This window comes from Homo sapiens, chromosome 14, assembly GCF_000001405.40.
Source record: "Homo sapiens chromosome 14, GRCh38.p14 Primary Assembly".
Lineage (NCBI taxonomy): Eukaryota > Metazoa > Chordata > Mammalia > Primates > Hominidae > Homo > Homo sapiens.
In genome coordinates this window covers 88262695-88286368 of record NC_000014.9, presented here as the reverse complement: position 1 = coordinate 88286368, position 23674 = coordinate 88262695, and the positions used below count along the sequence as shown (strand labels likewise).

The following is a 23674-nucleotide window of genomic DNA, read 5'->3' as shown; positions in this document are numbered from 1 at the left end:
TTGGGATTGCTGCATAGCCATCCCAACTTATTGGCATAAAACAAGCATTTTATTATGCTCAGATAATGTGCTTCAGGGATTCATGCAGGACACAGAGGCGATGGTTTGTCTCTATTCTGCAACGTCTGGGGCCTCACCTGGGAAGATGAGCCTCACCTGGGAAATCTACAGGTGTCTGTGGGGTTAGGGGAGGGGGCTGAAATCAACTGGAGGTATCTTGGCTCATGTGACTGGTGGTTGATTCTGGCTCTTGGCTGAGATCTCAGCGTGGCTGTTGGCTGGAACATCTGTATGTGATCACTGTGTTTCTCCACATGGGTTAGCTTGAGCTTCCTCACAGTGTGGCAGCTGGATCCTAAGAGTGAGCATCCCAAAAGAACCAGGCAGAAGCGGTGTGGTCTTTCATTATTTAGCTTTGGAGGTCACATAGTGTCACTTCTGCTTTAGTCACAAGCCTGTCCAGATTCAAGGAGAGGGAACATAGGTTCGATGTTCTCACGGGGGGAATATTAAAGTCACATAGTAAGGAGTATATGGGATAGGAGAGATTGTTGTAGCTAGTTTTGGTAAATACAGTCTTCCAGGAGGCTTAACCTGTGGGCCACTTATGAGCCTGTCTGGCTTAAAGGATCCAGTACACATCTAAATTTGGACATACTCTAAAATCAGGATCTCTTTTATTTATTAAAGAACCTGAGTAATCTTAACCTAAGTTGTATTAAAATTCAAAGATTGACTCCTTAGAACAGCTAAGCTTTCGTTCATTTAATGGGCACTGATTGAATCTTGACTCTGTGCAAGATCCTGTGCTAATGGCTGTGGGAGCATATTGAGATGCCACAAGAAGTTGGCATGCTAAAAGGTGAAGACAAATACAGATGGCTTTCAATTAACTAGTCTCTGGAGAGACAGAGGCCACTCACAACCTCTAATGATAGTTAAAATAAAACTTATTCAGGCCAGGCACAGTGGCTCAGGCCTATAATCCCAGCACTTTGGGAGGCTGAGGTGGGCGGATCACTTGAGGTCAGGAGTTCTAGACTACCCCGGCCAACATGGCGAAACCCCATCTCTACTAAAAATACAGAAATTAGCCAGGCATGGTGGTGCGCGCCTGTAATCCCAGCTACTTGGGAGGCTGAGGCATGAGAGTCGCTTGAATCCGGGAGGCAGAGGTTGCAGTGAACTAAGATGGTGCCACTGCACTCCAGCCTGGGCCACAGAGTGAGACTCCACCTCAAAAACAAACAAACAAACAAACACTATTTAAAACAAGACACAAAGTGAGTTTAATGCAAACTTATTTAGTTAGCATTGCATTTAATGTTCAGGAACACATGTTCCATTTTGTAGACTTCATTAATTACAACTAGCAGTTATTTAAGTGCTTACTAGAGACATTGAATATTCTAAGCACCCTGTGAGTATTATGTATTTAATTTGCACAATACAGTGAAGCAGTTACTTTATCGTACCCATTTTATAGATGAGAGTGAACAGTAGAGAGGTTCTCATTTTGATGGTTAATATTGTCAACTTGATTGGATTTAAGGATGCAAAGTATTGTTTCTGGGTGTGTCTGTGAGGGTGTTGTAGGGGAGATTAACATTTGAGCCAGTGGACTGGAGAGGAAGACCCACCCTTAATCTGGGTGGGCACCATCCCCTTGGCTGCCAGCACGGCTAAAAAAAGCAGGCAGAAGAAGGTGGAATGAGCAGACTCGCTGAGTCTTCCAGCTTTCATCTTTCTCCCGTGCTGGATGCTTCCTGCCCTCCAACATCAGACTCCAAGTTGTTTAGCTTTTGGACTCTTGGACTTACACCAGTGGTTTGCCAGGGGCTCTCAGACTTTTGGCCACAGTGCACTGTCGGCTTCCCTACGTTTGAGTTTTTGGGACTTGGGCTGTCTTCTTTGCTCCTCAGCTTGCAGATGGCCTATTGTGGGACACCTTGTGATCATGTGAGTCAATACTCCTTAATAAATTCCCTTTCATATGTACATCTATCCTATTAGTTCTGTCTTTCTCGAGAGCCCTGACTAATGCAGTCATGGAGGCTGGCGTTTGTACCCAGGGTCTCCCAGTCCCCAGGTGCATGCTCAATGTGACAGGGCTAGTTAGTGCAAAGCCGGCACTAGAATCCAGGTTCTGGATTTTCTTCTTGGTGTTCTTTCCTCTAGACTTGAGGTTTTGAATTGTGTTCCTGAATCTTTTGGGTCCTAAAAAAGTCTTGGGACCTGCTGCAGGGGTTGAGAAGAAGCAAAGCTCATGTGACTCTAGGCCCTTACTCCAAAGTCCAACCAAGTAGCATGCTTTGAGGTAAATTATATTGTGTTAAACTTAATATATGATACATAGTATAATGCAATACTTAATATATATTTAATATATTTGTAACATACAAAATACAATATCCAAGAGCAGTATGGAACACCAAAAGGTGTTCAGACTTTTTTTTTTGAGACAGTCTCGCTCTGTCACCAGGCTGGAGTGTGGTGGTGCAATCTCAGCTCACTGCAACCTCTGCCTCCCTGGTTCAAGCAATTCTCCTGCCTCAGCCTCCTGAGTAGCTGGGACTACAGGTGCCCACCACCATGCCTGGCTAATTTTTTTTTGTATTTTTGGTAGAGACGGGGTTTCACCATGTTGGCCAGGATGGTCTCGATCTCTTGACCTCGTGATCCACCTGCCTTGGCCTCCCAAAGTACTGGGATTACAGGCGTGAGCCCCTTCCTTCAAATGGAATTTTATATCTGTGTTTACATTTTCTGCTTAAAGTTTGAATTTTGTTTAATTCAATTGAATTTCCACTTAAAATGTAAACTTTTGAAACCCACACCTCTGACATATTCCACATTGCTGTTGGATATTTTTAGTTTAAAGATTTGGCCTGTAAGCTGTATCGGTATCATTATTCTAACTTCAGGCTCAAGGTCTCAGTCACTAGTTAAAGTCTTTTCTACCGGCAAATCTGTATTACCATCTACTGTGGAAGATAACCTCTAAAGTGCCCATGTAAGCACAAATCCATAAAACTAAAAGTCAAAGAAAAAAGAGAAAGAGTTTATTCCACTGTTTAAAAGTTCAGTTTGATTTAGATCTTATATCTCTTGGGTTTTCTTGACTGATTTTTTACATAAATGTGTCCCAGAAAGAGTGATCATATCGTGATCTTTGTTCCCAGTTTTCCTTTTCCACATCAAGTTTTCCTGATGGAAAGTGATTTAAAAAAACCCTTAAAGTGTGATAATCACTCTCTTCTTTAGTAGACAGTGGAGTTTAATAGATGCATACAGCAGTTGTTTACTTGTGATGAAAAGAAATGTGAATTTTCTGGTGCAAGGACATTTCTAGCTCATGTCTAAATTGCAGAGAGACCACAGTTTGACATAGTGCTGAAGCAGGTTGTAAGAGGTAGGGGTACAATGTATGTCTGCACAGGTTGTGCACTATGCGACTGTGAATGGTGTCTTCTGGAATTGTCTATGCGGAAGCACTGTCAGGAGGTCGTGGATTCCAGCCTCTGTTGATTTTTGTGCATGGGAGAGCTTGATACCAAGCCTCAAAGTACTAGGAATAAGAAGGTATTACATGCTGTAATTTTCAAGGTGGTGCCTTTCTGTACCTCCATTGCTTTTAGTTTAGGGCATTTCTTCTGCAATCTTTGGAGGGTTCCTAGGAATAAAAAAGTAGCTAGTTTGAGACAGTGTGCAATTGTGCTGAAATGGAGGACCATGGGGGTAGATGTAGTTCCCTTCATGCCAGTAGCTAATTGGCTTAGTTTGCTGATTTGTTCCAGGATATTCCCTAAAAATAGGTGTCTTCTAAGCCTCAGCTTTGGGCCTTGAGGTATGGCATGGCTATCCGCTCTCTGCTCCTGCTGAGCTAAATGCAGTCCTGAATGCCAAATATTGAGATTTGGAATTATCAAAGGACTATTAGCATCAAATTGAGAAACTCAAGCTAAATTTGCAAATTAATACAAAATCATGAACTGAGCTTCTCTTCCAGAGAACCTCTTGTAACAGAACTTGAAGGTGGCAGGATGTCTTGATAGAGCGTGGATTTTAGAGCTGGATGCATGCTGGGCTTATATCCTGGTTCCAGCATTTGCCTTGGGCAAGTTATTTACAACCTCTGGTTGAGGTGGTTGGACTAGTTGATATCTATGATTCCTTTTTAAGTAAATAACTATTAGTTTTTTCATACAGTATAATTACTATATAACAAACATCTTCTTCTTTGATTTCATTCATGCATTCAAAGTATTTATTAAATGCCCTCCAATGCCGGACACCATACTAGGTACTGGGTATATAAGAGTGAACCAAATGAGCAGGGTTTCTGCCCTCAGGGAGTTGATAATCTAGTGGGGAAGGTGTTGGGGATGATGGTTCATCAATAGTAAAGAAACAAATAATATAACTACAATCATACTTGCTGTGATAGAGAATAATGGGGAGGACCTATGTATTAGTGGGGGTACTCTAGAGAAACAGAACCAATAGGATACAAACACACACACACACACACACACACAAATGTATCTTGTGTATATATATATCTATATGAGAGATATATGTATATATGTACATATGTATGTGTGTGTGTGTATGTGTATATATATATATATATATATATATGGAGAGAGAGAGAGAGATTTATTTATTTTAAGAAATTGACTCACACAATTATGGACAGGTCCCAAGATCTGCAGGTGAGTCAGCAAGCTGGCGACCCAGGAGAGCTGATAGTTTAGTTCCAGTGCAAGTCTGAAGGCCTGAGAACCAGGAAAGCCAATGGTATAATTCCCCTGAAAAGCCGATATTTCAGTTCAGGTCCAAAGGCAGGAAGAATTCTCTCTTACTCAGGGGAAGGTCAGCCATTTTGTTCTATTCAGGCCTCCAACCGATAGGATGTGGACCACCTATGTCGTGGGAGAAATCTGCTTTACTCACTCTGCTAACTTAAATATGAATCCCATCAGAAAGCACCCTCACAGAAGTACCCAGAATAATGTTTGACCAAATATCTAAGCATCCTCTGACACAGTCAAGTTGTCACATAAAATGAACTATCCTAGGCTACTTAGAGTAGTCAGAAGATACCTCTCTGACATGGTAACATTTAAACTGAGACCCAAAGAATGGGAAGGAGCCAGCCGTGGAAGAATGGGGGACAGGCCTTCCAGGCAGAAAGAAACTGAGTGGTAACCGAGTGGAAACTGAATGGAAACTGGAGTCCAGAGGGAAAAGGGGCATGTTGTGAGATGAAATTAGAGAGGGGACAGAGGCTTTACTGTCAGACCTTGGAAGCCATGATAAGGGGCTTGCATTTTATTCTAGATGCAACGATGAGAGGCACTGAGTTTGAGCACCTTGGAAGCCATGATAAGGGGCTTGCATTTTATTCTAGATGCAGTGATGAGAGGCACTGAAAAGTTTGAGCAAGGAGGAATGTGAGAGGATTTATGTTTCGAAAAGATTTTTCTGACTGCTCTGTGGGAGTGGGTGAGAGTGGAAAGTGGGGAGACCTGAGAGAAGGCTATGGCTGGAGCCTAGTAGGGAGCAGGTAGCCTGGATGGAGGGCCAGGGGGACAGAGGGAAGTGGATTGTTTGCAGGTCTATTTTGGCGGTAGAAATGAGAGAACTATTGGGGAGGGACAGGACAAGAGAACAGAAAGTAAGGCTGCCTCTCAGGATCCTGCCTATTTGGCTTGAACGGTTTGGGTGAACATTACTATCATTCGGGGAGGTGAGACTTCCTTTTTTGGTTGGGTCAACTAACAAGCGCAATTTTCACTTACTAAGCATGAGACACACCTGAGGTATCCAAATGAAACTCAATAGTAGGCAATTGGGTGTGTGAAGCTGGAGTTCCAAGGACATTTTGGGTCTGGGTGTATAGACCTGGGAGCCATCAGCATGTAGGTAGGGATTACACAGGGAGAGGATATAGAACAAAAGGGGTGCAGAAAATAACCCACGGAAGTCCAGTGTTTAGGCAGAAGAAGAAGTATCTGCAGAGTGGATTTAAAAAGACCCAACGAGAGAGGGTGGAGGAAAGCCTTGAGAGTGTGATATCACAGAGGCTGTAAGCAGGGAGCTTTTTAAGAAGGAGCAAGTTCTCCTGTGCAGAATATTGCTGAGAGGACAAGTGATGTGTGGCCGTGTTGGTGTCCCCTGTGTCGGTAGCAGAGATCGTTAGCAGAGCAGTTTCAGTGGAGTGACAGGAGAGGAAGACCAGTAGATTTTATGCAGTTTTAGGATGGGTATCACCCAGTGTATTAGTCCATTTTCACGCTGCTGATAAAGACATAACCAAGACCGGGAAGGAGAGGTTTAATTGGACTTACAGTTCCGCATGGCTGGGGAGGCCCCAGAATCATGGTGGGAGGTGAAAGGCACTTCTTACATGGCAGCAGCAAGAGAAAATGAGGAAGAAGCAAAAGTGGAAACCCCTGATAAACCCATCAGATCTCATGAGACTTATTCGTTATCATGAGAATATCATGGGAAAGACTGGCCCCCATGATTCAATTACCTCCCCCTGGGTTCCTCCCACAACACATGGGAATTCTGGGAGATACAGTTCAAGTTGAGACTTGGGTGGGAACACAGCCAAATCATATCACCCAGTTTAGTACTTCACTATGTTTTTGGCCAATTATGTTGGGTAGGGGATGGTTGTGCTCCTCCTGTCCCTTACCTTAGAGCTGGCAGATAAAATACCAGATATCCAGTTAAATTTGAATTTCAGAAAACTTTTTAAAAAAGTATAAGTATATCCCAAATATTGCATGGGATATACTTACCCTTTAAAAATTTTGTTGCTATTGTTTATCTGCAATTCAAATTTCACTGGGTGTCCTGTATTTTTGTTTCCTGAATCTGGTAGCACACATTGAATTGCACCCTTTAAAATGGCTAGAATAGGGAATTTTATGTTATGTGCATTGTAACACACACACACACACACACACACACACACACACACACACACACACGTATCTGGCAATTCTCCCTTAACTAAACTACCATGTAGAAGCTACCATGCGATGCAGTCTATTTCTAGGTTTAGCCACAAGGGTCAATAAGAAAATCTGACCTCAAAGGAAATTATGTCTGGTGATGGTTAATGCTTCTACTAAGTTCCCTTAGAGCATAGGATGCTGAGCCCATAGTAGGACCTCATCAAATGCTGGTTTGATAGAAATTGCATTTGGGGAAAATTAGCAGCTGTTGATAACTGAATGGAAAGAAATGAACTACCCTGGTACCTGTGGTACAACTTAAAGAACACCATGAAATGGGCCTCATGGGAGGTTCTCAATGAATTCAGTGGCGTGGCACTTTTGGGCATGCTTTTGGAACCAAGTACTTACTCCATGTGCCTGTGAGTTTGGCACCTCTCATGGCAGCCCAAGTGCAACTGGTTTCTGAGGGGCCATTAAAAATCTCCCAATGGCAGACAACTCTCAGACATGCCTGCAAATTCCAAGACAGCCAGGCTGATCATCTGCTACTTTAATTGGTTATACCAGTTTTTATGCCTTTGTTTCTCCTCCTTTCTGTGAGGTGGAGGAAACATAACCACAAGACTGTTTCCAGTGACCTCTTCAGAGGCAATTTCCAAGCAATTAAGTATGGGTTGAATCCAAAGTGTATTGATGAATTAAATTCTGTTCCTTGGCTGAAGATTCTGTTCCTTGGCTGACACCTGAACTCAAAGGTTAGATTGAACTATCTAGGAAAACGGTTTTTCTCTTGTGTTTTCCTGCAGGCTTTGCTGTTTACGAAGATCTTGCATCAACACTTAGCATTCACTCACATGGCAAGCTTGCATGTGGTACTTTCATTCCACATTAATTTAGGGAACTCTACTATGTGCCAGCATTCAATATCCAATTTGTCTTAGATTTTCGAATAGTGTCCCACAATTTTATAACTGGGGAGTTCCTTGAATGGAAATATGTTCACAGTGGCTGCTTAATTGTGACTAACCCATCACATAGAGACTGCTTTGGTAATAGATTTGATTCTGAGGGTCTAGGAGAAGGGACACTTCTCATATGGGGAAGACGGGATTAATCCTTGAAAATGATACTGAAGCCAACTTCTGTACCAGTATAGCAGCTTAGCAGACTTCTATATGATCCATGTAAGGGTCTGTTTGCTCTCTGAGATTTTGGGTGCCTTCTCTAGCCCCTGAGTGCTGGGCTTCTTCTGAATTCCATAGGGGTGGAGGTGAAGATACCGCCAGCTCTCACCCAACTCATCCATTCCTGGACAGCAGGGATTCTGCTCATCACCTTGGTGCCTCCGATGCCTGAAGCACAATAGGCCCTCAGCAAACATTTGTTGAATTCATGCCATGAACATTAATCGAGCCCTTTTTATACACTGTGCACTGGGATTGGGACCATGGAAAATTTAGAGAGGAAAAGGTCCACCTTCAAGGGGCATCTAGAGGAACTTATCCTCTAGCAGGAGAAATTGCTAATGAGAAAAGGTATTTTGGGGAGTGGAGTGAGGTGTTGGTCTAGCTGGCAGGTTCAGCCTATGCTCAGTGGCTCTCTGGTATGGAAAATTCCTCAGAATGTTGATTCAGCCATAGATTTCTCTGGCAGCACTGACTCTTGCCTTCCTTCGGCCACATTTTATTCCCCAAACCTAGGTGTTACTGGGAAGAGACTGAGCTGTTTTATTGAAGATAATTGACTTTCCCAGTTTTTAAGTAAGTCTGTTGATTCCTCGAAGACTTCACTAATCAGTTATGAATATTTCAAAAACACTTCCCAGTCTTCAGATGAATGGATTTGTAGGTTTTCTACATTGCTGTCTCCCTAGCCCCATGAGGAATAATGTGGGTATCCTTTTCCCTTTTAGGTTTCTCTCTTCCTCTAACCTGCGCCCACTCCCAGCCTCTGATAGATGCATTTGCAGTAAATCACAGAAATGTTGCTGATGTCAGCAGCACTGATATGCATTAGAGGAGCCACTTCAGAGGAAATTACTCAGAGGGTGATGCTGAAATGCAAAGCTGTTTGGTAGGGTATTTTGTAGAAACTGTTTTCTCCCTTTGATGGATCTTGTTTATTTTTTTTTGACTTAGTAGGCACAGTGAAGGAATAACCATCCAAATGTTTTTTTTTTTTCCATTTAAGTTTTGTATAGGAGGTTTTGGTGACTTTGAAATGAACCAGGAGCACTGAGCAGCTACACTGACAAATGGAGATGGCTGAGGCTGCTTGCAAAGCAGTGTGTTGGGGTGTGGAGCCTCCATGTCAGTGACCTGGGGAAAGGCAACAGTGAGGGCACACCTCATTCTACAGAAATGGTTTAAAAATATACATATGATACCCCACTTTTGATGCACACAGACTGTGCTGTTTAAATGCTTTCGATGGAAAATCCTTTTGTAAAGTACACGTCTATCTTGCAGAGTAGGATTTCTGTATATGATCTCAGGTTTGTTTATAGGGAGGTACACTTGGATGTCTTCATGACATTTATCATGACAGCTGTAGCTGAGCAGAGAAAGAGGGCAGGACTGCCATGGGGCATCAAGGGCCATTTGAAGAAGGAAATGGTGGACTGAGAGTGATAGCGACCTGTGAGGCTGCCTGGTTTCTGTAGCAGTGTTCAGCAGCCTGTGACTCTGAGCAGAGAGAAGGAATATTATACAGGGATATTTCCAGGTAGCTCCAGGAAAAGACAAAAGGGGAGGAAGTTGAGTCTGTTAGCTAAAGAGCAGTGTTGAATATGGGATCCAAGTTGGGTGGAGAAGAGAAAGAGAACACAGGGAGGGTAGGATGACAGGAGAAAGTAGAGGCAGGGTATGATGTGGGAGCGATGAGGGTAGCAAGCTGGAAAGAGAGGATGATCTAGTCAATGTCTTAGTGTGCCTTAGGGCTACTATAATGAAATACCATAGACTGAGTAGCTTTTGCACAACAGAAATTTATTTCTCATGGTTCTGGAGGCTGGGAAGATCAAGATATCAAGGCAGATTCAGTGTCTGGCAAGGATCTGGTACCTGATTGACAGACAGCTGTCTTCCTGCTGTGTCCTCACTCGGTGGAAGGACCAAGAGATCTCTCTGGGTTCTCTTTTATAAGGGCATGAATCCAATTCATGAGGGCTCAGCCCTCACCATCTAATCACCCCCCAAAGCCCCCACCTCCTAATCCCGTCACATTGAGGGTTAGATTTCAGTGTGTGAATTTTGGGGGACACAAAAATTCAGACCGTAGCAGTAATCGCTTCAACTGAGTATTGAGACAGTTCTTGTGGTAACAAGGTTTAGGGTGTGGCCATAGGGAGACTCAGCTGTAGTGGAGCTGTTGGGGCTGTGCCAAGGTCACCCAGATCCGTTTTGTTCTGTGCACCTGTCCTTTAGCTTCTGGGGGCTTCTCTCTTTCTGGCCTGTACCTACAGCCTTTTTCAGAGGACTCTCCTTGGTCTACCGGAGCCTATTTTCAGGATGTTCCTAGGAGTTTTTTGAGATGGAGTCTCCCTCTGTCGCCCAGGCTGGAGTGCAGCGGCACAATCTCAGCTCACTCCAACCTCCACCTCCTAGGTTCAAGCCATTCTCCAGCCTCAGCCTCCCAAGTAGCTTAGATTACAAGCATGCACCACTATGCCTGGCTAATTTTTTTTTTTTTTTTTTTTTTTTGTATTTTTAGCAGAGCTGGGACTTCGCCATGTTGGCCAGGCTGGTCTCAAACTCCTGACCTCAGGTGATCCCCTGCCTCGGCCTCACAAAGTGCTGGGATGACAAGCATGAGCCACTGCGCCTGGCCATCCTAGGAGTTTGTATCACCCACTCCTTCACGGTTTGTCTGGAGGGATCTCCTAAATAAATAACTCACAAACAAATTCTCATCCGGGATCTGCTTCTGGGATACCTGCCCTGAGTTAGTGGTTGAGATGGAATGGAGATGATGGCAATGGTGATAAATTCAAGGAAATGGGAGGCTTGGGTCTTGGCTGGGTTGTGTGTGGGATGCTGAAGTCACTTAGGAGGGAAACAGGACCCAGAGAGAAGGCTGCAGGAAACTGGGGGAGCAGCCAGGTCTACCACTGATGGCCACGGGGAAGAGTAGGAAGTGGAGGAGCCAGAGGGCTGGGGTCTCAGAGGAACTGCGGGTTTGACACAAGAATATGGGGTATTGGTTTTCCAGGACAATGTGACCCTGATGTTGTGGGCGAGGGAGACTGAACAGCCCCTACCCCAGAGTCACACTGACAGCACAGTGTCCTCAGGGAAAGCCCAGGTATCAGGAGAAAAGGCGCAGGAAGGGGCCCTGAAGAGGCTGGGGGCATGAGGGAGTCTTCAGATCTTCAGCAGGGGCCCCTGAGGCATCTTTGGAATGGTTTGGGGTAGGGGTGAGGGGAAGGTTGGATCAGAGGGGAGGAGGCTGAGAGCAGAAGAGAGAACAAAGCTACACCAAGTGGCCTCACTGGCCTCACACTTCTCAGAATTGGTCCCTTCAGACCCGGTGGTGGGTGGCTTGGCAGCCTGGATGTGGGGTGTGGAGATTGGTACTACTCCTGGCACACAGGGGGCATGCATTGGTTGAATAAACAAATGAATGACACATCAAGTTTGTAGATGCCCCACCTTTTCATCATTCTGAACCATTGTCACTTCCATGTATTTTATGGTCTGATAAATATGGAATTAATCGAAGTACCTCTAGCTATTTGTTATCACCATTATTGGGTGGGACACAGCGAACAGATTTCTTAAAGCTAGGGAATTATGCAATAGGACATGTTACGGACTTAAGCCATAAGATCTTTTTTTTTTTTTTTTTAGATAGAGTCTCACTCTGTCACCCAGGCTAAAGTGCAGTGGTGCAATGTCGACTCACTGCAACCTCCTCCTCCCAATTCTCCTGCCTCAGCCTCCTGAGTAGCTGGAATTACAGCGTGCGCCACCATGCCTGGCTAATTTTTGTATTTTTAGTAGAGACAGGGTTTTGGCATGTTGGCCAGGCTGGTTTGGAAAGGATCTTTCTAATAGGCCAAAAAATATTTTTCAGTTTTGCTTTCTACTGTGGATCTGTAGATCCACAGTATAACTACTTATGGTCTATTTGCTTGTGATTGCAGATACTGAAGGAGTTTGCTGGGAAGGGAGAAGTGTGTGTGGAAGAAGAGGGGAGGGCTGGAGAAGTGAGATGAGCCCTGAGCACACGGGACATTGGAGGCCAGGGAAAGAACCATGGCGGTGCTTGTGGAGTTTTAATAGGTGCAAGCTGGGAATTTCAGAAGGCTCACCTGGCTGCTGAGTGGAGCCTAGGGCAGGGTGGGGGGTGGGGGGAGACCCCTCCGGGAGCCAGTGAGGAGAGATAACTGCTTTTGACAAGACACCTGGGAAAGACATCTGGAAGGAATGGCGTTGACAATAAGATTTAAAACCCTTGGCCCCAGGGAAAGGGGATATTTTGAGAACTATGACTGCTTGTATTACTTTTAATCCCAAGAGGAGGATAAAGGTCTTTCCTGTATAAAGTGCGCTAGTTAATTTAAATTGTGGAGGAAAAAACTTAGGGCAAGAGACAGAATATGATATTCAGGAAGCATTTTGGAAAAAGACACAAGGAACCCCAGCTGTGGCTGTGTGCACCTTTAGGGCCTTGATCATGGAGGCAGGATAAAGAAGTCCATCTCGTCAACATGGCGGAGTCAGAGTCTATTGGGAGAATCACGAGGTAGGCAGCTCTAAATCCCAAAAGATGGTGGTCCAGTCGGATATGCCTGGGCTGCTCTGACCAGCTCAGCACACACAAGGAATAGCTCTGGTCCTGGGCAATTTGTGCCCTGGGTCGGAGGGTGAGAGTTTATTTTATCGGAACAATAAAGGCATCCCACCTGCTACCAGGAGCAACCAAAAATGCTCAGAAGTTCTGGAACAGGAGTGCTGTTGAACAGGGTTTCCTGGCAGCCCGAGATAGAAAGTGGTAAAAACAGCAAAATGCTGCTATGGTATAGTACTGAAGTCATCAGGCACACACTGAGACTTCCTGTGGGTCAGGCCTTGTGAATGGTGCTGGAGACAGAGACTGGGATAAGATCTACCATCTCTGATGCTGACGCCCAGCCCAGTTCTCCCCTTTTCCTCTCTAGTTTTTTCTTTCTCTGTCATGCATCCCCCTCCCTTTGCTGTCCCTTAAATGTTGCTCCCTTGAGCATCATCTTTTACTCTCTTCTCATTTTACATCTCCCTCTGGACCACTTCATCCAGTCCTGTGGCTTCAGTACCACTTACATACTCATCACTCTTAAATCTAGGGATTCAGCTAGATTATTCCCCTGAGTTCTGGTCCCTTATGCCTCATGTTAACTGGATAGCTCCACCTGGATGGGCTACAGGAGCTGCACACCTAACTCTCCTGCATTTTCTGTCTTGCAGAGCATGATACTGTTATAAGCTTATAAGAGTCATCCCAGACGCCTCCTTTCTTCCTTTGCATCCATCACTAGGACCCGCACATTTTACTTCCTTAACACGCCTTGTCTCTGACTCCTCCTCTGCTGCTGCCTGAGTTGAGGCCTCATAATACATTCCAGTAAACTCCTACCCACACCCCCCACAGACGATCTCTCACTTGCTGCATGTCTCTTACGCACTGCTGCCAGAGTCAGCTTGCTAAACCCAGGTCTGACCCCCTGGCTCTTCTCCCTGTGTTAGCCTTGATGGCTTCCCACGCTCATTAATAAGACCAACAAGAGCCACACTCTCTCCTCTGCTTGTCTTTGCAGCTTTATTTTGGTGTAGCCATCTTCACACCCTCTAGTCCTGACACGCAGACCTGAGGTAATTTCCCAAATGCCCCAGGCTGATTCATGGCTGAGTGTCTTTGTATCTGTTGCCCCCCCATTGCTGTTCCGCCTTCCTCTCCACCTCCTTCTGCCCTCTCGCAGACACCTAATGCCCTTTCCACACCAGTGGGCACCTTGTCTTTGCATTCTCGTCTCCTCTTCGGTGGCACTGACACTCTCTCTTCATGTCTTTCTGTCCCCCACACCTCTGTCAAACACAGCATCTGCACGCTTTGTTGCATTTGCTTGCATAGAACACGTAGTTTTCTTCACCTCCTAATAATGTGGACAGCTCACGTTGATTGAGGACTTGCTTTGAACAAGGCATTGAGCAACATGCCGTACATTTTATGTTAAATCTTCCCAATAGTGCTACTGCTTCTGTCCCTTTCCAGGGAGGAGGAAGGAGGCTTGGAGAAGGGACTGTCTTTTAGGAGCCCTGCCCAGTGTTTCCTGTGGAGGGTGGGGCCATCGTGGAAGACAGACCTATGGTAGGGGTAAGCTGGGTGGCTGTTGAAGTCCAACCTTCCCCCTGCTTCCTCTAACCCTGATAACCTTGTTCTCTGGGGCCTGTCTGCTAGTGGAGAGGCTTCTGACTTTTTTTTTTTTTTTGCCATACCTTTGGTTTATAAATACAAGAAGAGATTTGGGGAAAAATCAGGGGAAACTGTCGAGCTTACAAGTCCCGAGAAGGAAGTCACTGCTCCTTTAAGTCTCATGTGAACCCCTTGTTCTCTCCCCAGCTTGTGGGGTGAAAGAAAAGCCCTTTAGTCTTTTGGGTCCTCAAATCACAGTTTATGCAGTTTGGCCCCAGTCAGAGGGACCCCAGGAAGGCAGACTCAGGGTAAATTCTGCCTGTCTTCCACCAGAGAGGGGACTCACCAAGTGTGACTCATGCCATTCAATAGAATTTTTAAAATCTCACAAGTATTTTGTACCCCTGAGTAAAAGAGAGGCTTGTAGCTCTTCATGAAGGAACAAGAAAGGCCCGAACTGAGTGTTTGGAGCCCAGTGAAGTAAAATACTGCCCTGTCTCTTGTCTGTCCACTCTAGCGCTTGTACAAACCATGAAGAACTCTCTTTGGACTGTTTGCTTTTTGAGAATGTTAACACCTTGACTCTGGATTTCTGCCTATGGGAAAAAACCACAATAGTGCCAGGGGTGCTTCCATATGCAGGATTAACTCTGCAGTCAAAGTTTCTGTTGGGCAGGTGTGTGAACTTGATACCATAAATGCTGGCCCAAAGCAAATGGGAGAATGGATGAATGAACAAATTCAGGAATGAAACAAACTGTAACCAGGGGTCTCCTAGTTGTAGGTTCTCTGCTAAACTTCATATTGAGACACAAAGGAAGGGCATCTTATAATATAATGTTGGGGGATGAGCAGTCAGCTTGGAGGTGGGGACACGTAAGGTGGGTTTTGATGTTTGAGAAGGAATTGACCAAAAAAAGAGTCAAGAGGTGAGAAGAATCTGGGAAGCGAGACCTGTTTCTCTGGGACAGGTGTGAGCGGGTCTGGGTGCTGCTGGGTTTGGCTGGGGCAAAGGTTGCTTGTGGGGGCGTGGCAGTGGGTGAGGCCTGTGAGATAGGCAGGCGCCAGGTCCTGGAAGGGAGAGTCAGGGAGCAAGGCATGGAGCCTGCACTTTACTCTGAATGTTGGTGGCGCCTTCAGAGCATTGTTAGCAAGGGTCCATGTGATCACACTGACACCTGAGAGAGTGACACACCATGTACATGGCTGGTATATGGAGGATGGATTTAAGGGGGACAGGACTGAAGGCTGTCGCAGTGATTCAGGTGAGAGAAGATGGGGTTCTGGACTAAGGGGACAGGAAAGCACAGATGTGAGATGAGGTGGCAGGCAGTTCTAGCTCCCTCTTCCCCCCAGTCTGCCTTGTTTTCCTCTTCTCATGGCTCCATAGGGTCTCAGTCATTTCATCATAGCTTGATCTCTTCCATCTGGAAGTGCAGCCTGAAATTTTGAAGACAGCAGGGAGCAATGCTTCACCCAAAGGGAGAGCCTCGGGTGGCGTTTTGGGACCATGGCTTGCTCTCTTAGTGCATACAGACTTAGTGTTACTGCCATTCTTACTGGGATCAGCTTGATTGCCTTTAAGGTAGGGCTGTCCCATGGAAACAGGGAAAACATGATTTGGTTGTTTGGGTATCTGGAACCAGAGGCAGCACAGATACTGCTCTAAGAGCTGCTGGGACAACTGGAGGCCGGTGTGGGTGGAGCACCCGAGGTGGAATCCTGCGCTCCTCATCTTTCCTGCCCTCTTCCTAACACCCTCCCTCCCCAGCGGCCTGAAGTCTGCCTATGCCTATGCAGGCTGAGCTGTAACCTGGGACTCTTTGGAAGCTCTGAGCCATCAGTGCAGGTGGCCCCGGAATGATTCCAGACCTAGAGTAGGGGTGGGAGGTCGGCTGCGGGGAGGGGGGAGGTGAGAGGAGGCTGTCCTTTCCCTCTTGCCCGGGAGTCTGCAGTCACAGTTGCACTTTGCCTGGGTCAGTAGCAGAGTCACGCTGCTGTGTGACCGTGGCACTGAGGCAGCTGCATTTCAGGTTTCCAAGAGACTCTGAACCCTTGGAATGCCATTTGTTTCAGGTGACATGGAGGAATGGAGGCACTCGGGTTAAGTGTCTGAAGATGGATTCAAGGATGCCCCTGCTTGTTAGCTTGTCATAGGTTGCTCAGTGTCCCCTCTCTGGCCCGTAGTTTCCTCATCTATCAATGGGGGCAGATAATAATCATCACCTTACACAGAAGGTTTGGCGAAGATAAAAACAGGTTCACTGGCTGGGTGCAGTGGCTCATACTTGTAATCCCAGCACTTTAGGAGGTCGATGCTGGCAGGTCGCTTGAGGACAGGAGTTTGAGACCAGCCTGGACAATGTAGTGAGACCCCATCGCTACAAAATATTAAAAAATTAGTTGGGCATGGTGGCATATATCTGTGGTCCTAGCTACTGGGGAGGCTGGGGTGGGAGGATAGCTCAAGCCAGGAATTCGAGGTTACAGTGAGCTATAATTGTGCCACTGCACTTCAGCCTGAGTGACAGAGCAAGATCCTGTCTCAACCAAAACAAAGCAAAACAAAAACAGCTTCATGCACGTGTAAGATCTTTGTTAATTCTTCCATTAACTCTGAAGGCGGGATGCGTCTTATTAATTTATGTAGCTCCAGTGCCAAATGCAGTGCCAGGCAAACTCAGTTGTTTGTTGATTGAACGAATGAATGGATGGTGCAGTAATATCTGTGGGGCTTGAGAAAGCCTGAATAATGTCAACTTATTAAGAGCTTGTTCAACCATGAAAAAGCAGATTTCCACATGTACCCCTCCATATCACCCACATTTAGGTGAAAATGAAATATGTGCCGTATTCTTTTTTTTGAGACAGAATTTATCTCTTGTCACCCAGGCTGGAGTGCAATGGCACGATCTCGGCTCACTGCAACCTCCACCTACCTGGTTCAAGTGATTCTTCTGCCTCAGCCTCCCGAGTAGCTGGGACTACAGGTGCATGCCACCATACCCGGCTAATTTTTGTATTTTTAGTAGAGCTGGGGCTTCACCATGTTGGCCAGGTTGGTCTCGAACTCCCAGCCTCCCAAAGTGCTGGGATTACAGGTGTGAGCCACTGCGCCCAGCCATGCAGATATTCTTGAGGAAACATTTTAAAATGAAAACTAGCAGAAAGGATATTACCTTTCAACATTTCCTTTCTCATCAATTCTTGGCAGCACTTTTGCTGCCCAGTACTCTTCTGTTGGAGCTGTGAAGTGTGATAGGCCATTACTTTATAGATCCATTCATTATTGATACGTTTTGTAGGGAAGAACTCCACTGCTGTTTGGAAACTGAAGTAGTCAATCTCATAGACTGGAAAATATTTTTAATGCCTATTTGAAACAAATGTCGTTCCTATTTTTTGGGATAAAAGGGCCCTTTCCCCCTGGAATTGCTATGTTTCCTCTTTTCCTGTTCCTACACTCTGCAGAACTGACTTTGAAGTCAGATGATTCCCTTTTTAATCTGGCTTCTCTCTTTTGGGCCGCTTAACCTTGACTTAGCCATTGAACCTGTCTGGGTCTCAGTTTCTTTGTCTGTGAAGTGGGGCTGTGTTGGGCATGAGCATGCGCCTACAGGCCTCTAACTGGAGTGGGTGTTGGTGATCAGGGCCCTGGCTGCTGCCCTGATCTCCACAGCTGGGCTTGCACTGCGGGTACGTTGCTCCCGGGCTGCTCCCAGCCAGTGTCTGTGCGCAGCAAGGATACCACGGCAGGATTGTTTCTGGGAGACACAGGACTCCTCAGACAGCTAACTTCAGCTCAAGAACTCCTTGATGGGCTTGCTAAACTTCCTTAGGCTGGAAGATGCTTACCTCCTCCTTCCTTCTTTCCTTCCTTTTCCAGGGGTCAGACTTACATAGAGTCTAGTGGCTGTTCTAGCCTCCCCAACTCCCTATCATTTTCTCTCACACATGCGTTCCCCCTAATAAAATCCATGCACATTTAATCCCTTCTTGGCATCTGCTTCTGGGGGTCCTACCTGGACTCATGCAGTGTGATAATTCCTTGTAGTGAGGACCGAATGTAGTGATGTAAGCAGAGTGTTTGTCAGAGTGACAGCATGAGTAAGTGCCCAGTAGGCCATCAGGGCTCCTGTCACCTTCACCACCATCAGCACCACCATCCTCATCACCATCTGGCCAAGTTTGCTTCTTTGTTGGTTCCAGGCATGAGAACTCCAGTGGTTGATTCCAGGTCATAAGGCAACTGTATTAGGGTGAGAACAACTGTGGCTTCTAAGGAGAATAAATGGATTAATGAAAATGCCATTTAAAAATTTATCCAACTTGGCTGGATGCGGTGGCTTACGTCTGTAATCCCAGCACTTTGGGAGGCTGAGGCGGGCAGATCACCTGAGGTCAGGAGCTCAAGATCAGCCTGGCCAGCATGGTGAAACCCCGTCTCTACTAAAAATACAAAAAATCAGCCGGGCATGGTGGTGCACGCCTGTAGTCCCAGCTACTTGGGAGGCTGAGGCAGGAGAGTAGCTTGAACCCGGGAGGTGGAGGTTGCAGTGAGCCGAGATTGTGCCACTGCACTCCAGCCTGGGCGAGAGAGCAAGACTCCGTCTCAAAAAAAAAAAAAGAAAAAGAAAAAGAAAAGAATTTATCCATCTTAAGCACAATCCAGATCCTTTTCTAGCCATTGAGATGTGCAGTCTTCTTTGCCAAAACAACCAAGTCCCTTTTTAGTGAAATGCACAAAAGGTTTTGTAACATTCTGAGATCTGTGCCGGTACTCCTGACAACTACAAATATACTCCAGCCAGTAGACCAGGGCTGCTCATTTGCTGTTCCTGAGAACCCTGTGGACGTTTAGAAAAAAAGATGGCTGCTATTATTCACATTTCACAGTAAGCAAACAGAGAAACTAAGTGACAGTTTCGAGGTCATGCTGTCACTGATGGATTTGGGACTGAAACTCTGGTTTTTGCTCTGGTGCTTTGGAAGCTCAGGCATGGGTGGATTCTGTTCAAACTCTGCCCTAATGGACAGTCTCTTCGCAAACTGGCACCAGGACCTGGCCTGAAGAGACGTTTCTCAAGCCCAATTCTGCCCAGCCTCAGGGATGCTAGAAGCTTGGGAAGCATCCATGATGCAGGTCAGTGACGGAGTCCAGCCTCCACTCACCTCCATGCTCATGCTATTTATTGCATGTCAGCTGATGAGGCTTTAAGCTAATGTTGGTTACCTGGTGCTGTGGAACATGTTCCTTAAGCTGACTGGCAAGCCCCTGAGGCTGGGAGGGACTGTGCCTTATCCCCACCATACCACACCCCTTTGTGCCCATTCAGCATTAAATAAATGTTTGTTTTTGAGAGTGCTGGTGATTCCGATGGGGCTTTTGTGTGAAGGAATTATCACCACCACCACCACCACCACTGGAAAACAACATTTGCTCTATGCCAGGCACTATGCCAAGAAATTGAGATCCAATGATTAAAAGATGAACTTTCTGACTCCAAGAAGTTGATAGGCTAGTGGGGAAGATCAGCACGCTGGGCCTGCCTGGAAGAGCCCAGGACGACTTCATAGAGGAGGTAGCTTTTGGCTGAGACTAAAGAGGATGGGAGTTTTCCAGGCAGATGAGGGTGGGGAAGGGGTTACTGGCTGAGAGGACAACACCTGCAAAGGTGTGAAGGTGTGAACAGAGCACTGCTGTGTTTGAGGACCTGCTTTCAGTATTGCTGGAGTGCCAAACTGTTTGCCATTTGACGCTGCTCATCCACGTTGTCTGTGTGGTTTGGATGTGCCAGCATTCCTTCCACCCTTTATTCACTTATTCCACCATCATTGATTGTCTACCCACCATGTGCCAGGTACTGTGCAGAACACTAGGGGTGCAGAGGTGAGGGGTAGACAGGGTGCCTGCCCTCATGGAGCTTTCAATCTAATGGGAGTGCTGGACAAGGGCACAGGCTGTATCAGCAGCACAGCACAGTGAGTGCTGGGCAAGGGAGATGTATTAGTCTGTTTTCCTGCTGCTAATAAAGACATACCCAAGACTGGGTAAGTTATAAAGGAAAGAAGTTTAATGGACTCACAGTTCCATATGGCTAGGGAGGCCTCACAATCATGGTGGAGGGTAAATGAGGAGCAAAGTCACATCTTACATGGCAGCAGGCAAGAGAGCATGTGCAAGGGAACCCACCTTTATAAAACCATCAGATCTTGTGAGACTTATTCACTATCACGAGAACAGCACGGGGAAAAACCTGCCCCCATGCTTCAATTACCTCCCACGGGGTCACTCCCCCAAGATGTAAGGATTATGGGAATACAATTTAAGGTGAGATTTGGGTGGGGACACAGCCAAACCATATCAGGAAACCTGAACTAATGGAGGGCAGATTCATTTCCTGGGGCTTCCGTAGCAAATTGCCACACATGTAGTGGCTTAAAGCAGCACTAATTTATTATTGTATGGTTCTGGAAGTCAGAAGTTCAAAATCAGCCTCACTTGGCCAAAATCAAAGAGTAAGCAGTACAGGTTCCTTCGGGAGGCTCTAGGGGAGGATCCTTCCCTTGCCTTTTCCAGCTTCTAGAGGGACCACATTCCTGGGCTCATGGCTGCATCACTCCAACCTGTGTATCTGTCCTCACATCCCTTCTCTCTCTGGCCCTCCTGCTTCCTTCTTATAAGAACTCTTGTCATTATATTGAGCCCAACCATATAATCCAAGATCATCCCCCATCTCAACATTCTTAATCACATCTGCAAAGTCCCTTTTGCCATGTAAGATAACATTCATATATGTCTTGGGGATTAGGATGTGGACCTCTTTGTGGGCCATTATTCTACCTGCCCCCAAGGCAGGAGGGGAGAAGGTGCTCCCAGAAGTGATATTTAATATGAGATTTCTGGCTCAGAAGCAGGATACACATGGAAGCAGGGAGGCCCCTTGGGAGGCTGCTGGGCTGGTCCAGGCAAGATGTGACAGTGGCCTGGATGAGGCTGCTGGCCACAGGGGTAGGGAAAGGCCCAAGGGATGAAATACAGTGATGAGGCAGAATGAATGGGAGATGTGGGCAGTGGTAAAAGAAAGCCACCTTAGGCAAGGCTCACCTTCTCGGCATCAACAGGAGCAAGGGGGAAAGTGAATGCAGCGTCTTTAGGGAAAGGTTAGCAAGAACATAATGCCCAGGTTGCTGATTCTAACATATAGATCTTTCAATCAAGATTCCAGGCAATTTTGCGTTTGTGTAAATCTGAGGGAAATTTAACATGGAGTGATTTTATTGGATTGGATAATATGCCATAAAAGACTGACGTTCAGCTCGGTTTCCAAAGACAGAAACTGATTCCGAGGGCCTAGGAGGAGAGGCAGATGTTTACAAACTTAGATTCTTCTAAGCCATCACCTCTACAGCCAGGTGTTTTGAACAGGCAGTGACATAGCCTGCTCTTTGACTTTTCCAACAGTGATTGAGCAGTTTAACTCCCTGCTGGAGTGGGACTGTTTACCCCACTTAGGTAATTAGGTTTATCATCTACTAATACCTTCTTCACACAACAGCCAGCCTGCACCATGACAGAGACTATAATAAGAGTTGGAATAATAAAGGGAGAACAAAACTGAAGTGCAGTGGCTGTTCGTTGTTGCACAAGACATTTCTGTGATGCATGATAGCATTGCGTGTGCGTCATAACCCCAAACTTCCTGCCATCGCAGAAAAGCCTCCAGCTGAACCTATTTATTTCCAAAGTAATGAAATTGCCCTACAGAGAACAGGGACCTTAGAGAATTCTATGTGCTTCGAAAACCAGGAAACAGTTTTTTTCCAATGACGTCTTATTGGAAAACAATAGAAGAAAAATTCTATTACTAGTAGATCAGGAGTGGTTATGCCTAAGTCACATCTTCTATTAAGATATAACAAGCTCATCCTTTTTTCCTTTGTTTTGTGACAAGAGGACTTTTTAAGTCTCTAGACATTCATCTCTTCTCTGCTGTTGGTATCACCAGCCCTTGGTGCTTGGATAGAGTAGTTGGTTATCCCTCTCCTATTTACTTCCTCTCCAAGTTCAACAACATGTTTGTTTTTAAATCTGATGATTTGTTGTATTCCTTACACATTGTTTCAACAAGGAAGCTAAGGGAGGAGGTGAATTATAAATGGCAGAGAGATAGCTTTCAATTTGGACCCTCGTAGAAAAATGTAAGTATTTCAAACTCAGTTTATACTTTTTTTTTTTTTAAACTGGGACCCCTGGTGCTTATTTTTTAGAACTCAAATGGGTACCTAGCAACTGATCAAATTCCCTAACTGCAGGCTTGGTGAACCAGCGTTTCATCCTCACATTTGAAAGCTGGCTCAAAGAAGACATCTGTGCTTTGTTTCTGACACGTTTTGTATTTATTTATAAACAAACTCTCTTCTTCTTTGTCCCCCACCCTGACTCCTCAGTGGCCGTTCCCGCAGCAGCACCGGTGTGCCAGCCCAAGAGCGCCACTAACGGGCAACCCCCGGCTCCGGCTCCGACTCCAACTCCGCGCCTGTCCATTTCCTCCCGAGCCACAGTGGTAGCCAGGATGGAAGGCACCTCCCAAGGGGGCTTGCAGACCGTCATGAAGTGGAAGACGGTGGTTGCCATCTTTGTGGTTGTGGTGGTCTACCTTGTCACTGGCGGTCTTGTCTTCCGGGCATTGGAGCAGCCCTTTGAGAGCAGCCAGAAGAATACCATCGCCTTGGAGAAGGCGGAATTCCTGCGGGATCATGTCTGTGTGAGCCCCCAGGAGCTGGAGACGTTGATCCAGGTGAGCAGGGAGTGAGTCCATCTTAGGCCAGCTGGTGGGGTGGATGGCAGTGTTGGTTTTATCTTTCTGGGTCTCTAGTCTTGCCTTCAGTTGAGAGGCTCTTGGTGGTCAGGGAAGTTCTCTCCAGGGAGGTGACATGTGAGCTGAGACCTCCAAGAAGCGATAGTGAGGCATGTGACAGTGTGGGGGAAGGAGGGTCCATGTTCTGCATCTGGTTTTGGATGAGTGGTCAGAGGCGGCAGCAGGCCAATGGACTTTGGATTTTCAAGTTCAAGTCCACCTATGTGTGCTGATTAACTCCTTGATTCTGAACTCTGTGGAATGCTGGGATAGAACCCGAAGAAGGAAAGAATTTTAAATATGCAGATTTAGAATAAGCAGGGATATATTAACCTGTCCAAGGTCCATGAGGATGAGGTAGAGAAGAGGCCACCAGGTATGTGGGTGAAGAGGCTGTCAGTGGCCTGAGACAGCTGTTATAGTGGATTTATGGGGATGAAATAATAT

General features: G+C 46.0%; 1 protein-coding gene across 3 annotated transcripts in view, besides 1 other annotated feature; it reads left to right on the top strand.

Moving 5' to 3' along the window:
- The window catches only part of KCNK10 (potassium two pore domain channel subfamily K member 10), a 146805-nt gene that overhangs the window by 40544 nt on the left and 82587 nt on the right, over positions 1–23674 (top strand). For 2 of the 3 annotated variants that reach the window (NM_021161.5, NM_138317.3), the window contains exon 2: positions 22818–23167. In NM_021161.5, coding sequence (NP_066984.1) covers positions 22818–23167 — 350 coding nt within the window. Of the gene's footprint in view, positions 1–15457; positions 15632–22817; positions 23168–23674 lie in introns of those variants that run through there. The other variant, NM_138318.3, reaches the window with a different exon arrangement.
- Positions 15290–15584: a silencer, noted in NCBI's record as "tiled region #1180; HepG2 Repressive non-DNase unmatched - State 10:DNaseD, and K562 Repressive non-DNase unmatched - State 24:Quies". NCBI's record gives its function as "represses a minimal TATA promoter and a strong SV40 promoter by Sharpr-MPRA in HepG2 and K562 cells {active_cell/tissue: HepG2 | K562}" and the evidence as "EXISTENCE:reporter gene assay evidence [ECO:0000049][PMID:27701403]".